The 12,240-nt window shown below is 51.0% G+C and overlaps 1 long non-coding RNA gene across 1 annotated transcript in view, besides 8 other annotated features; it reads left to right on the forward strand.

The window, feature by feature from the left end:
• Nucleotides 1–510: a promoter, noted in NCBI's record as "S-Tbx3 promoter fragment". NCBI's record gives the evidence for it as "EXISTENCE:reporter gene assay evidence [ECO:0000049][PMID:17283120]".
• TBX3-AS1 (TBX3 antisense RNA 1) overlaps nucleotides 1–12,240 on the forward strand; it is an 85,697-nt gene that overhangs the window by 1,885 nt on the left and 71,572 nt on the right. The gene's annotated exons all lie outside the window — the stretch shown is intronic.
• Nucleotides 52–73: a protein binding site, noted in NCBI's record as "CCAAT -81/-63 site". NCBI's record gives the evidence for it as "EXISTENCE:protein binding evidence [ECO:0000024][PMID:21784138]".
• Nucleotides 343–365: a protein binding site, noted in NCBI's record as "AP1 -371/-367 site". NCBI's record gives the evidence for it as "EXISTENCE:protein binding evidence [ECO:0000024][PMID:17283120]".
• Nucleotides 1,821–2,673: an enhancer, noted in NCBI's record as "H3K4me1 hESC enhancer chr12:115123802-115124654 (GRCh37/hg19 assembly coordinates)". NCBI's record gives its function as "activates a minimal SCP1, AML or CMV promoter by ChIP-STARR-seq in naive H9 embryonic stem cells {active_cell/tissue: H9 hESC(naive)}" and the evidence as "EXISTENCE:reporter gene assay evidence [ECO:0000049][PMID:30033119]".
• Nucleotides 1,821–3,524: a biological region, named in NCBI's record as "VISTA enhancer hs483".
• Nucleotides 2,413–3,319: an enhancer, noted in NCBI's record as "VISTA enhancer hs483". NCBI's record gives its function as "enhancer in: limb[5/9]" and the evidence as "EXISTENCE:transgenic organism evidence [ECO:0001131][PMID:17130149]".
• Nucleotides 2,674–3,524: an enhancer, noted in NCBI's record as "H3K4me1 hESC enhancer chr12:115124655-115125505 (GRCh37/hg19 assembly coordinates)". NCBI's record gives its function as "activates a minimal SCP1, AML or CMV promoter by ChIP-STARR-seq in naive H9 embryonic stem cells {active_cell/tissue: H9 hESC(naive)}" and the evidence as "EXISTENCE:reporter gene assay evidence [ECO:0000049][PMID:30033119]".
• Nucleotides 8,668–8,962: an enhancer, noted in NCBI's record as "tiled region #166; HepG2 Activating non-DNase unmatched - State 3:PromF". NCBI's record gives its function as "activates a minimal TATA promoter and a strong SV40 promoter by Sharpr-MPRA in HepG2 cells {active_cell/tissue: HepG2}" and the evidence as "EXISTENCE:reporter gene assay evidence [ECO:0000049][PMID:27701403]".

A 12,240-nucleotide genomic window follows, 5' to 3' on the forward strand; every position in this document is an offset into this window, starting at 1 on the left:
CTCGGCGGCTCTAGAAGGTCGGGCTGCGCTGTGGGCTGCGGGGAGCCGGAGGCCTCTTGATTGGCTCTTTGACGCTTTCGGACCAATTGTGTTGCTGCATAGGCGTGGTTTTCACAGGTCGAGTGCTGGGGGATAGAGCTGAGTTATAAAAAGAAGGTGTCGGAAACTGTAACGTCGCAGCGCCGCATCGGTACTACTGCCTGTCCTGTGAATATGTCAACATGATCAGAGGGCGGGCGGGAGCCACTGGGGAGCGCGCGCGCACAGAGTCGCCTCTAGGTGGCTTATCGAGAGATCGCTGCAGCCCCTGAGCTCGCTCGCTCGCTCTGGTTCAGCCCACGTCTGAAATGCCTCAGTCATCCAGCCGGGGATCGAGGGAGGAGGCAGGGCCAAGGAGGAAGGGGGAGGGAGAGAGGGAGGGAGCCAGCGAGCAGGCGAGCCGGGCGGGGAAGGCGGAGAGCGCGCCCGGGCGCCGGGCAGGGGCGCTCGCCTCTCTTGCACTCCGCTCGCCTCTCCGACCGCCGCGGCCGGTTCTCTCTCCAGCTCTCCTTCTTCTCCCCGCCCCGGGCGAGCCGGGCGGGTGGCCGAGCCTCCCCGCGAGCTGCCATCCGGCCACTCGGTTCTACAAAAGCCGGCGGCAGCCGAGAAGCGAGCGCCGAGACTCCAGGCTTGCGTGCTCTCCAGCCCCACGTGGAGCCAAGCTCCGCCCGGCCGCCGCTGAAGGGCTCCCGAGCTCGGGTGTCTCGGTGCTGGTCTCCCCTGCGTCTGGGCTGGGGGAGCACAAGGATGCGGCCATATCTCAGCACACGCATGTGTGGGCTTCCTCTCCACTGCGCCCCACCCGCAGCCATGTGCGGGTACCCAAACACCCCCGGTGTATCTGTACTCGAACACGCGCCAACACACTGGGACTGAAACACACACCGAAAAACACGTACACACAAACACGTACACAGCCTGCGCGGCTGGCCCTGCCTGAGCTCCTGGGGAAGATGGATTTGGGATTTTTATGAAATGCATTTACCAGCCCTTTTGGATCTCGTCTTTCATTTGCATGCGGGCCCCCATATTCCACCTGGATGTGGGTGTGGGTGTAGAGAAGAGAATGGAGGATCTGGACAAAGCGAGCACAGCGAGAGACTGGGTTCTGAGCCTGTCCCCTCCAAGCCGCTGCCCTCACCTCGAGGCCCGGCTGGGTGCACAGCACAGGGTAAGGGGTGGGCGATTGGGTTGGGGGAGGCGCGCCAGCCTGGTATCTTCTCTAGGCATCGCACTTATCTCTCGGTGCCTCAGTTCTTTCTCCACCCCGGGGACTTAATCTGGCCAGAAGTCGGGGAGGGAGGGTGAATTTGTAAAACAAACCGTGAAACGCCCCCACCTCAGAGGCGAGTTGACTGTTTTTAGTACGGGTAGGGTGGGGGCCTCCTCTTAGGCGGACGGGAGGGAAACGACCGGATCTTACCAATCGCCGAATTACCAACTCTGTTACCGCAGCGCCCGGTCGGGGTCAGAGGATTCGCCTAAGCCCACAGTTCTTGATTCTGGGGGCCAATGTCTTGGACCATCCTTGCTTAGATGGAGGGAAATCTTGAAAACAATGTTCTTTTATCTTTCCTGAGATGAAAGCTTCTTCGATGGAAAGGGAACGGAGAAAGGGCTGATCTGGGGGCTTAGGGGTTTAAGAGACTCAGGGCTTTGGATGTGTGTGTCTCTGTAGGCCAGCACAGGCCTCTCTCGCATTTTGCCTTGTGCACCCGCGCAACCCCCAGCAACCCCGAAACCCCAACGTGGCACCAAGGGAAGGGTGAAAATGAAGTGCTCTTGTGGGCCAACCACGCTGAGATAGGGGAGGATCTTTTGAGGCGACAGGCTTCTCCAGCCTCGCATTTTTGACGCACATGGTTAAGAGAGCTTGGCGCCAGCGTTGAGAATTCCCTGAAGTCACCAGAGAGAATAGTGTGGTTCTGCGAACTCCGTCTGGCTCGCCATCTCGCCCCTTTCTTTCCCTTTCAGTCTGTCTTTCTCTGGCGTCCTCTCTGTCTCTGCCAGTGGTTAAAATAGAGAAAGGAGAGAGAGGGAAAATTACGAGGTGGTGGTGCCCCAGAGTGTTGGCTCATAACACCCCCTCCCGCATCCCCTCCTCCCCACCTGAAGGGTGCGAAAGGCCAGGCCATTTCCCGCCTTACACAGAACACGGAAGTCACTGCAGGGTTTCATGAGTCTCTGGGGACCCCCGCCCCAAAAAAAAGAAAAAGAAAAGAAAAGAAAGAAATAGAAAAAAAAAGTGCACCCCCTCCCCCAGACTGCTCGCCTCCGGGGCCTGGGGCCCCTTCGCTGCTCTTTCAAGAGCGGCCCCAAATCCCAGCGATCTGGTTTTGCCTGCCTGCCCTCGCAGGCCAATCTCTGCCCCACTACTTGGGGTGGAAGCAAAGTAGTTCTACAACCACACTGTGACCGACCTCCTCCTCACCCACTCGGTGCCCCCAAGCGTCCCACGCACAGCAGAGAGACATTCCTCTGCATTCTGGCCAGCTGTCAGCTTTGGAAATGGGAGGGGAGCTTGCGGATTTTACTTAAAAATGTCTAGATTTGTTTTTGGCTCCGCGGGTGGACTGAGAGGGAGTTCTGCCCCTCACACTGTCCTCCTCCCTCAATTGCCTATTTTTTGCCCATAGCTCTAACTTAACCCTGTGATCACCCCAGATCGCTACTTCTGACCCCCATCTCCTCTCCCACACCAACCTCCAGCGCGCGAAGCAGAGAACGAGAGGAAAGTTTGCGGGGTTCGAATCGAAAATGTCGACATCTTGCTAATGGTCTGCAAACTTCCGCCAATTATGACTGACCTCCCAGACTCGGCCCCAGGAGGCTCGTATTAGGCAGGGAGGCCGCCGTAATTCTGGGATCAAAAGCGGGAAGGTGCGAACTCCTCTTTGTCTCTGCGTGCCCGGCGCGCCCCCCTCCCGGTGGGTGATAAACCCACTCTGGCGCCGGCCATGCGCTGGGTGATTAATTTGCGAACAAACAAAAGCGGCCTGGTGGCCACTGCATTCGGGTTAAACATTGGCCAGCGTGTTCCGAAGGCTTGTGCTGGGCCTGGCCTCCAGGAGAACCCACGAGGCCAGCGCTCCCCGGACCCCGGCATTAGGCGCCAGCTGCCGGCTATCTGCGGTCTTTTTCTCTCTGCAGACCCCTCGATCCTCTTTCCTTCGGTCTCACACTCAACAAAAGACAGACTAGAGACGTTGAAAGAGCCTGCCCTTCAACAGAGTCCCAGAAAAGGGTGACTTAAGGGGAGGAGAAGGGAGAAAGAGGGCAGATTCCGGGTCAGAAAAGACCCAGATAATTTCTGGCGTCTCTGAAATATTCCTCCACCTTTTCGCAAAAAGAGTTTTCACTTAATTGTAGCTCTAGAATTAAAAAAGTAAATTAACTGAAAAACCTCTCTATCTGCAATGCCCGCAGCATTTAAAGTAGTGCGGGTGCAAGTAGGCGAGTGTTAAAGCTGGGTGGGGGGAGGACCCTGAAAATAATGTTCCTTTGTGGGGGTGGGGTCGGGGTGGGGGTCGGGGGAAACAAAACCAAATCAACTGTCCTTAGCCCAGGCCACGGTGCCAGCAAAGAAGCTGGCCTTGCCCGAGACGGAAGCTTAGCCCACGCCACTTTTCCCTGCCGCACTGCCTGCCTCAAACTATAAAGGGGACAAACCGACCCTTTTGTGATCAAATGGTGTTTATCTGGAGTTTACAAAAAGGGCGGGGAGGAGGGTAAAAGGATGGTGGGTAGGCGGGGTCGTTTGCTTTGGCCAGTTTGCTGTAAATATTCCCTTCAGCATGTGTGAGGTCTGGCAAGGGAGTATTATATGCTTATTCCCTCTTAAACTTTCACCCCCGTTTGCCGCAGAGCTCTTTTCAGTCCGAGGTGTCACTAAATTGGGAATTCTGTTGACAGAAGGGCATCCAAGATTCACCGGGGGTATGAGACCTAATTAAGAAGTTTCATACAGGGGTGGGTTCATATATGAACTTTTCCTGGGGGAGGGGCGTTCTGGTCATCCTGGCAGTTTGGCAATGGCTCCTCGTTTCTGCCCAGTGCCCCAGCCCATTTGATCTCAGGATCCCAGCCTCTTTTGATATTGACGAGCTTTGAAACTGACCAGGTGCCTGCCCCCCAAGGGCTCCCATTCTCTTTCGGGCTCAATTCTCCCACCTGAGGAAGTGATTTTCTTATCACGGATCCCAGGGAAGTAGCTCTCTAGTTTACTGTTTGTGGTCCTCCTGCAAATTGCCCTAGCACCCCCTACCCCTCTGGGGTACATACATTAGCACTGCTATGCTACCCTGAACCCTGACTCTCCCCCTGGCAGTGCTGAACCCAGTGGAGGCTTGCTCTTCCTCCAGGAGTCTCCACTCACCATGCACCCCCATCCCTTCCTCCTCCCCAAAGCTTGCTTTGAGAGCTTAGTTCCTCTCTGGTCCAGAAGCTGCCTGTCAGTCCCTTGGAGACAGGCTGGACTCCCCCACCTTTCCTCCCTCCAGGGCAGACACTAGCTTCTTGGTTGGACCAGACAGACAGGGCAGGACATTCACCTTTTGTTTCTTTTTCCATTCCTTTCTTTCTCCTCCCCACCACCCCCCCCCCCCCTTTTCTTTTGGTCTCCTTGTCTTTCTGCTCATCCCCATTTAGGATTATTTGAATGCGTGTCTGGAATCTTTCTTATTCTTTTTCCTTCTACTTTCTCTTCTCCTCCTTTCATCAATCTTGTTCTTGGTTTCTATTTCTCTTTCTTGTCTTGTATCTATTTCCCAGGCTTTAACTTCTCATGTTTTGTTTTGTTTTTTTTTTTTTTCTACCTTCTTTATCCTATTTTTTCTGGCTGTTTTGGTCCTGTCTGAATTCTCTCCTGTCTTTCTGACCTGGTGCCTCCGTACTCTGCCCCCTTTCCCTCCCTCATCTTTCCCAGCAACCATGACAGCCTGGAGATCCCTCTTCCTGGGGCTGAAGCAAACACCTTCCCCTCTCTTCCTTGACTAGAAAGATAAAGTATCTTGAGAGATAGAAAAACATTGTGTGCATTTGCCTAGAGTGGCAGTTTTACCTTCTCCTCTTGGCATTTCCAAAGCCACCCCTTTCTCCAGAGTTGAACCCCATCTTTGCTCCCTAAGCTCTAAGGCCACCTCCCCATCTTTTCCAGAGCAGGAACCTAGGGTGAGGAGCTGCAAGTTAACCTAGGAACCTAGGGTGGGGAGCTCTATAGCCCCCAGCTCCCAGCTTCCTACTTGCCCCAGCAGCACGGAGCTTTCCTGTAACACACATTTCCCCTATCCTCTGACATTCCTCTAAATTATTGATCTGGGCAATTTGGTGCAAGCGTCTGTAGCATGTTTCAGAGAGAGAAGACTGAAAGTTGTCTAGCTTGGAGAAGCAATATTTTTAGTACAGAGGCTCAGTTTGTTGCCAGTTGGTTTATGCCGTTTCTAGAGCATCATTCGCTATGCACTTAATCCATGCTCATCATACCTCCTTAATGTAAATATGTTTTTGGCAGAGGCAAAATGAAAACATTTTGCCCTCCATATTATTCTTATTAGCACCTACCTTTCCTCAAAGCTGATCACCCTGCAAAATGGCAAATTTGTACACAGCCAGTGATTTAGATAAGTTAGAAGGGAAATGAGAGAGGTAAGATTGAAGGATGTGTGTGTGTCTGGGGAGAGTGCTTTTTCTACATCTGTGAAGGTTTTTTCCTCTCTCAGGAAAGGGAACCAATTGTGGTTTCCTAATTTCAAGTCAATCTATATCTTCAACCTTCTCTTTGTGTGTGTGTGTGTGTGTGTGTGTTTTACCTAATTACTTTAAAAAAAAAGATAATGCAATGGGCATTATTAGGCCAGCAGAAATGAATTCACAAGGAAGGGGCCAGGAATTTTTTCTCTCATTTTATCTGACCCAGAACCACCAAGACACAGGCCAGAGCTGACTTTTGCCCCAGGCACTTTTGACCACCCAGCACCTTTCTTTCTTCAACATCCTCTTTCTAGATTTTCAGTCGAGACAGGTAAGGGTATAAGTGGCCTCTCAGAGGTTTGTATCAAAATTTTACTTGTAGGGTAGAGGGACTAAGTGACAGAATACTTTAAGAGGGTGGAGGAGAAATTTAACAGTCCTCTCATGCAGACGGAGGGTGACATTCAAATGGGAGAATTTACTTCTGTGGTTTGCTACTGTTTCATTCTTTCCCTTATCATTGGTAGTGTTGTTAGGTGGCAGGGTTGTGGGGCAGAGTGGGGTTTCGCCCTGGGGGAGCATATGTGGCAGAGGGCACAGGAAGATCTGTAAGCAAGAGGGCATAGCAAATTAAATGACCACACTGTCAGGAAGGTTGACAGGCCAAAGAAAGATCAGCTCCTCCAAATCTGCTGAACTAACTCTCCCCTCGTAGCCCCAGACACGTTTTCTCAATTTGAGCACAATATCCATTACTATTTCCCGTACTGGGTTTCAATTAAAGAGAGTGAGAGTAGAAAGTTCACTGGTGTTTGGGGGTTCATTTATTTCCAAGCAGGATGCAAATGAAAGGGAGCCGTGGGCACAGAGTTGTCATGTGTGTTTTTCCTCCCTCTTCTTTCCATTTCCTTCTTGCAACCTTCCCTCCACTTCTTGCCAGCCACCCAGCACACCCGTGTTCCCAAAGCAAATGTTTTCATGTCTTGAAAATCCAGTTAGGGTGAGGAGAGAAGGAAGGTGATAACATCATACCTACTGATGCCCCCTAGAGATGAAGCTGTCCTGGGGGCACTTAAGGCTTGAGGGAAGGATTTACCTTCTCGAGATGGGCACAGGAATTGGGGTAGTGTGAGCACTTGAAGGGTTCCAGGTTTTACTGTTGCACTGAAAACAGATGCAATCCCTCCTGCTGTAACATGCCCCTATGGAAAAAATCTAGCCTTCTGTGCAGTTATCCTGTTTTGGTCCTAGAACACAGGGTGGTGATCTTGCTTCTCTGGGGGGTGCCAGGCAAATAGAAGACGTGAAAATCTGCTGCCAAGGTCAGGATGTAGGTCCTGGATTCAGGATCTTGACCCCAGGCCTGCCCTGTCACCGAGCAGTGGTCTCACAACCAGGCAAACTCTCTGGCCAAACTCACTTCACACAAACTTGAGCTGAGCACCAGCCCTCCAACCCCCTCCACCTTCTATGATCACTGACTTTGTACCATGGCCACACAGACCACTGGGCAGAAGAGTAGCTGCAGGGTGTCGGTCTTAATTTCATGACACTCTGCGTAGCCTCCTCCTCCTTCCACGTCAGCAAAAGAAACTAGAGGCCTCAACAATGTGACTGTATTTTGAGTTGGGATGTGTCCCTCCCAAATCAATCATCCCGGCTCCAAATAATACAAACAAATTCTACATATTTTAAAATGTCCCAAGTCTTGTATGATATCCAGGGACCGATTAGTGCCGACTGGAGAGACTATTCCCTCTCCCATTCCGAATAAAGGGTTAGGTGAAGGTTGTGGCCCGAGAGATCCCAGAAGCCCTTAAAAGTCTTTAGCTTGGGGTTTGAATAATGAGGGCTAGATAAGTTTGTTTTCTCTTCCTTTCAAAAATTTTTTTATTTTAGAGGAAGGGGAATGAGGAAGGCGCACGCGCGCGCTCACACACACACACACACACACACACACACGCAGAAAGAGAGAAAATGTTTGGAATTGTGAAAGTGCCTTTCCTAGTAGTTGCTTTTACTGGCGCCCGGGCCTCAATTCATTTCATCTCTGAACCAGATACTAAAAATCCTCCAGGCGAGTGGAGAGGACCGGCCTTCCTGGATCGGGAACCTGCCCTCTGTCTTCCCTCGCAGCGCCCTTTCCTCCTTTCGCTTGGGAAAGGAAGATTTCGAGCCCCAGGAAGGAGTTGGGAGTGAGCGACAGCCCAGAGCGTCCCATAAGGTCCTTTTGGCCATGTTTCTGCCCCGGGGGGCTTCACCTAGATCCCCCACCCCACCCCTTACCCCTGTTGCAAATACGTAAGCTGGACGCGCCTCGGTGCGGATCCAGGCCTCGCTGAGCACGGAACCGGAGAAGCAGCTCACGGCCTCGGATTCTACTCTCACCCAAGGGTGGAAGGGGGTGACAGGGCTCGGATCTTGCCCCAAACGCTGCACAGGCCCGCAGGAGAGCAAAGAGGTCTCGGACAGGCTGTCCTTCCCCAGCTCTCGGTCGCGACAAGGTCCCGACAGGCCCGGGAACCGGCGAACCGCCTGCAGGTAACCCTGCGCTGGGTACCTGCCTTCCCTCTCCAGCTACCGGGGCGGGGCGCGGCGCGGCGCGGCGCGGCGCGGCGGGCTGCCCGGGTGGGGGATGAAGAAAGCACGGCGGACCCAGGGCAGCGAAGCGCAGGTCTTTTTCCTTTTGAGAACTAAGATCAAGATTGCAGGGATTCAGTTAGAAGCCGCTCACCTACCTCCACCTCCCACCCTACCCTGTCCGATTTGTCTTTTGCTGCCGCATTGATTGCTACCTTCCCCCCTCCCTTCGCTTGCAAAGGACACATCGGGAGTGGACGGTAAAGACCTTGCGGGGAGCCGTGGGGGGCGGGGAGGAGTAACCAAAAATGAAAGAGAAATGTAGGACTCTCTGTCTCCCAAAGTGGTGGAAAAGCAATTGCAAGGAGATGGCTCTCGGGAGAATAACAGGCTCAGAGAGAACGCAGCCGAGCGGGGGAATCTTCGTGCGCGAAGCCGGGAGGGTTGCGGGGAGGGAGAGTTCTCCTCTCCCACCGCTGGGGTGTGTTTTTACATGTTTTCTTAGCAGCAAGTTTTATAAACAGGTCAACCCTACGCTGCCAGCCCAGGGAGTTGGAGCCTGTCTCCGGCTTCTAGTGCCGACACCCCTCTTTCCCATTCACCCCTTGCAAGCCAAACGCGCAGAGTTGGGAGGGAGGGGAAACTTCCTTCCACTTCTGATGTGGGGGGGACATTTGCTTTTGAAAGGCTTTCCTTGTCTTCAGACGGTAAAATACGAGTTCTCCACATGTCTGAGTCTGGTACCTCAAGCATGGATGGATGGGGAAGTGGGGGGCGCTGCTCTAATGACCTCTGCGCTGGATGGGGGTGGAGTGGGGGATTCTCTCTTTTCAGCCTGGCCCTGCTGGGGTGCCGAGGGGCATTATTAAACCCAGACGCTCAGGCCAGGAGTTGGGGCCATGCGGAAAAGATTTACAGTTAAGCCAATTGGGGCCGAATACAGCCATCCAAAGTTTGCAGGTGTAAATAGTGCCTCGAATTATTGTTTTCTTCCTTTCCAAGCAACTTCATTGCCCGACCCCCACCCCCCACCCTTTCCCCACTTCCTGGGACTCTAATTCTTTTGAGAACAGGGAGAGGAGGAAGGACGGTATGGCACAGTTGGGATTTTTCTATCAGAGAAGTTAAAATACGATGTTGCATTCACTTTTATGTGTGCGTATTAATGCAGTGAATACAACCAGGACAGGCTCCTTCATCGCATGTCTCCATCTAGAATTTGAGAATTGTTGGAGTCAGTGAAAGACCTTTTGACTTCGACGTATGATTTTTTTTTAAGGGAGTGGAGCAGACTTCTGTAAAACAGGGATATTGCAGTTGAATTATGAAGTTTCTGAGTTGGGGAGATTGGGTGAGGCAGGAGTAAAATGCAAAAGAAATCCCCTCTGGTAGGGATACAAGAAGATTGCTATAGATGGAATCTGAAGGGGAGGTGAGGCTGGCTTGCTAGGAAGAACAGAGTCACAGACCTTTCTAGTGCTTCAGTTTAGATCTTCCTAACGTTTAGAGAGCTTACTGAGTCGTGTATAGGTCCAACCTTAAGCCCATCTCCCACTGCGTTATTTAAATGTCAAAGAATATGCATGTGTATTTCTAAACTGTTCTTTGTGGGTACCAGTGTGTATATGGACATTACAAGTAGCCCAGAATATAACATTAAATCTCAGATTTTAGAAATGCATCACAATCACACCCCATGGGCAGACTCCTGTTTCATCAATATAGACGGAACTAAATTTGTTTTGCAGCTACACAGTTACTCCTTTTCTCTTGCAGCAATAAAATCTGTCTGTTACAAATTACCAGGGAATTGGAGAATATACTCCCCACCCCCCACACACACACCACAACTGTTGTTCGGTGTTTTTAGTCTCCCACTAACCCACTCAATAATAGATATAATATGTGTGTACACAGGCACTTTTCCAAAAAATTAGCGATAACATTCTGGGCACATGAAGAGGGCGTTTTTCTCTCTTTCCATTTAGGATTTGTTGCAGACTAAGTTGCTACTCAGGAGACCCATTACCAGGGGGATTGGCACCCATGGGGCCTCAGGGAAGAAGCTGAACAGCCTGTATTGCATGCAAAGACAGGAAGTTAAGGCGCCTGATTCCAGTCAGAATAAGGGCATAGGTGTAGAATTAGTAAGACAGGACTTAACATGTCCACGGAGCTGCAAGCGTCACCCAGCCCAGGATGAACCCCTCAGCTGCCACAGGAAAGTTTCCAGGCAGTGGTAGTAAAAACACTTTTTCTCTCTCTCTTTAAAAAACTTCCCAGTCCAGTGCACATGTTGCGCATAAATAAAAGTGGCTAATTGAACACTAGGTGAATCTGAATCAGTCTGAAGCAGAGAAGGAAGTACAGGACCCAGGCTGGAGATGGAGGTGCCCCAATTTGCAGGGGTAGAGAAGGAGTGGATTGCTTCCCACTTGGAAACCTCTGCTCTTCGCTTCTGGAGAGGCTCATCGGGAACCCCTGCAGAAGGTGCCCTTGCAGTCTCCACTGGATGGCCCTTAGGGAAGACTTGGCTGGTGGACAGTGTCCTCTGTGTGCCCCAGAGGGCCTGGCCAACTGGTTGGGTTGGGATGAGGCCTCGGTTTTGAGCCTCTGCGGTGGCAATTCCAGATATACCAGGAGGCCGAAACTGCTCCTGGAGGCTGGGGCAGGAGAGGGCCACCTGGAATCTGCCAAATGTGGGAGCTGGCGCAAGAGAAGTTAGGTGCAAGCCAGGAAGTGGGGGAAGAGGGTTCTCAGTGCAAACTAGCATCTCATTTCTAAAGCTCTGCCTGCACTGCATTAACTTCTGTTTACCGGGAAAGGTGTTGAGTGAGTGTGAGTGTGTGTGTATGTGTGTGTGTGTTTTGCGGGAGAGTGGTCTGGAAAGGACCACAGCCAGACAAGTGTGGAGATCTGCAAAGGGTACATGGTTTTAGGAACCTCAGGGCCCCACATCCCTTTTTGCAAAGGCCAATCTGGTGCCTGCCCAGCCCTGGTCCACTCGTTAGAAATTGGAGTGGCTGACCTTACCCCGGAACCAATCTGAATTGTATCTGGAATTGGAAACACAGGACTGTGTTCTAATCTAATCTAATCTCATGGGCATAGGACCTCTTAGAGGACTGCTCAGTCCATTGTATTACTGGCTTCAGTAGTCATTTGAAAGATTCTCTGTCAAGGCGATTAAGACCTCAGCTGAGAGTGGAGCTGTGGGCTACAATATTAGGAAGAATAAATTCATCCAACACTTATTGAGCTCCTATTGTGTACCAAGCAATGCCCTCACCTTTATGATCTTGTCAAAAGTTAAAGAGCTAGGCAGCAAAGAAAAAAGACTACTAACTATAGCCAAATAAAGTTAATAGGCTACACGGTCTGTGCAGGAGTGTCTAAAATTAGGTTTCCTATTTTGTAAGAGATAGGGTTCCTCATCTCTCCAGCTCCGATCACAGTGCTCATAGCTAATGGCTGCTCAATAAATAATAATTCAATACAGGAATGAAAGTCAAGAAAGAAAGGGAGAGAAGGAGACTAAAAGGGGCATTTTCTCTGCATTTGTAAAACAAATAACCACTTCCAAAGTGCATTTTTAAAGAACCAGTATTCAATTTGTTAGCTGCTCTCCCAAACGGATTCTGATATATAAAATAAGATAGTGAAAAGCAGACTTATTCTAAGATGGTAGTGGGAAGAGAGGTTTGGTATAATGGATAGAAAATTCCACTCCATCATTGAACAGATATTTATTGAGAGTCTTCTAGGTGCCAGATAGTCTTCAAAGTATTGGAGACAAGGGAGTGAATAAAAGATGGGTCCCTTCCAGCTTAATGCTTATGGTCCTGAGTTTTGTTCACTCCGGTAAAAATATATTATTATTCCCATTTTGAAGATGAGGAAAATCGAGGCCCACGAAGAGTGGGACAGGAGAGG

This window comes from Homo sapiens, chromosome 12, assembly GCF_000001405.40.
Source record: "Homo sapiens chromosome 12, GRCh38.p14 Primary Assembly".
Lineage (NCBI taxonomy): Eukaryota > Metazoa > Chordata > Mammalia > Primates > Hominidae > Homo > Homo sapiens.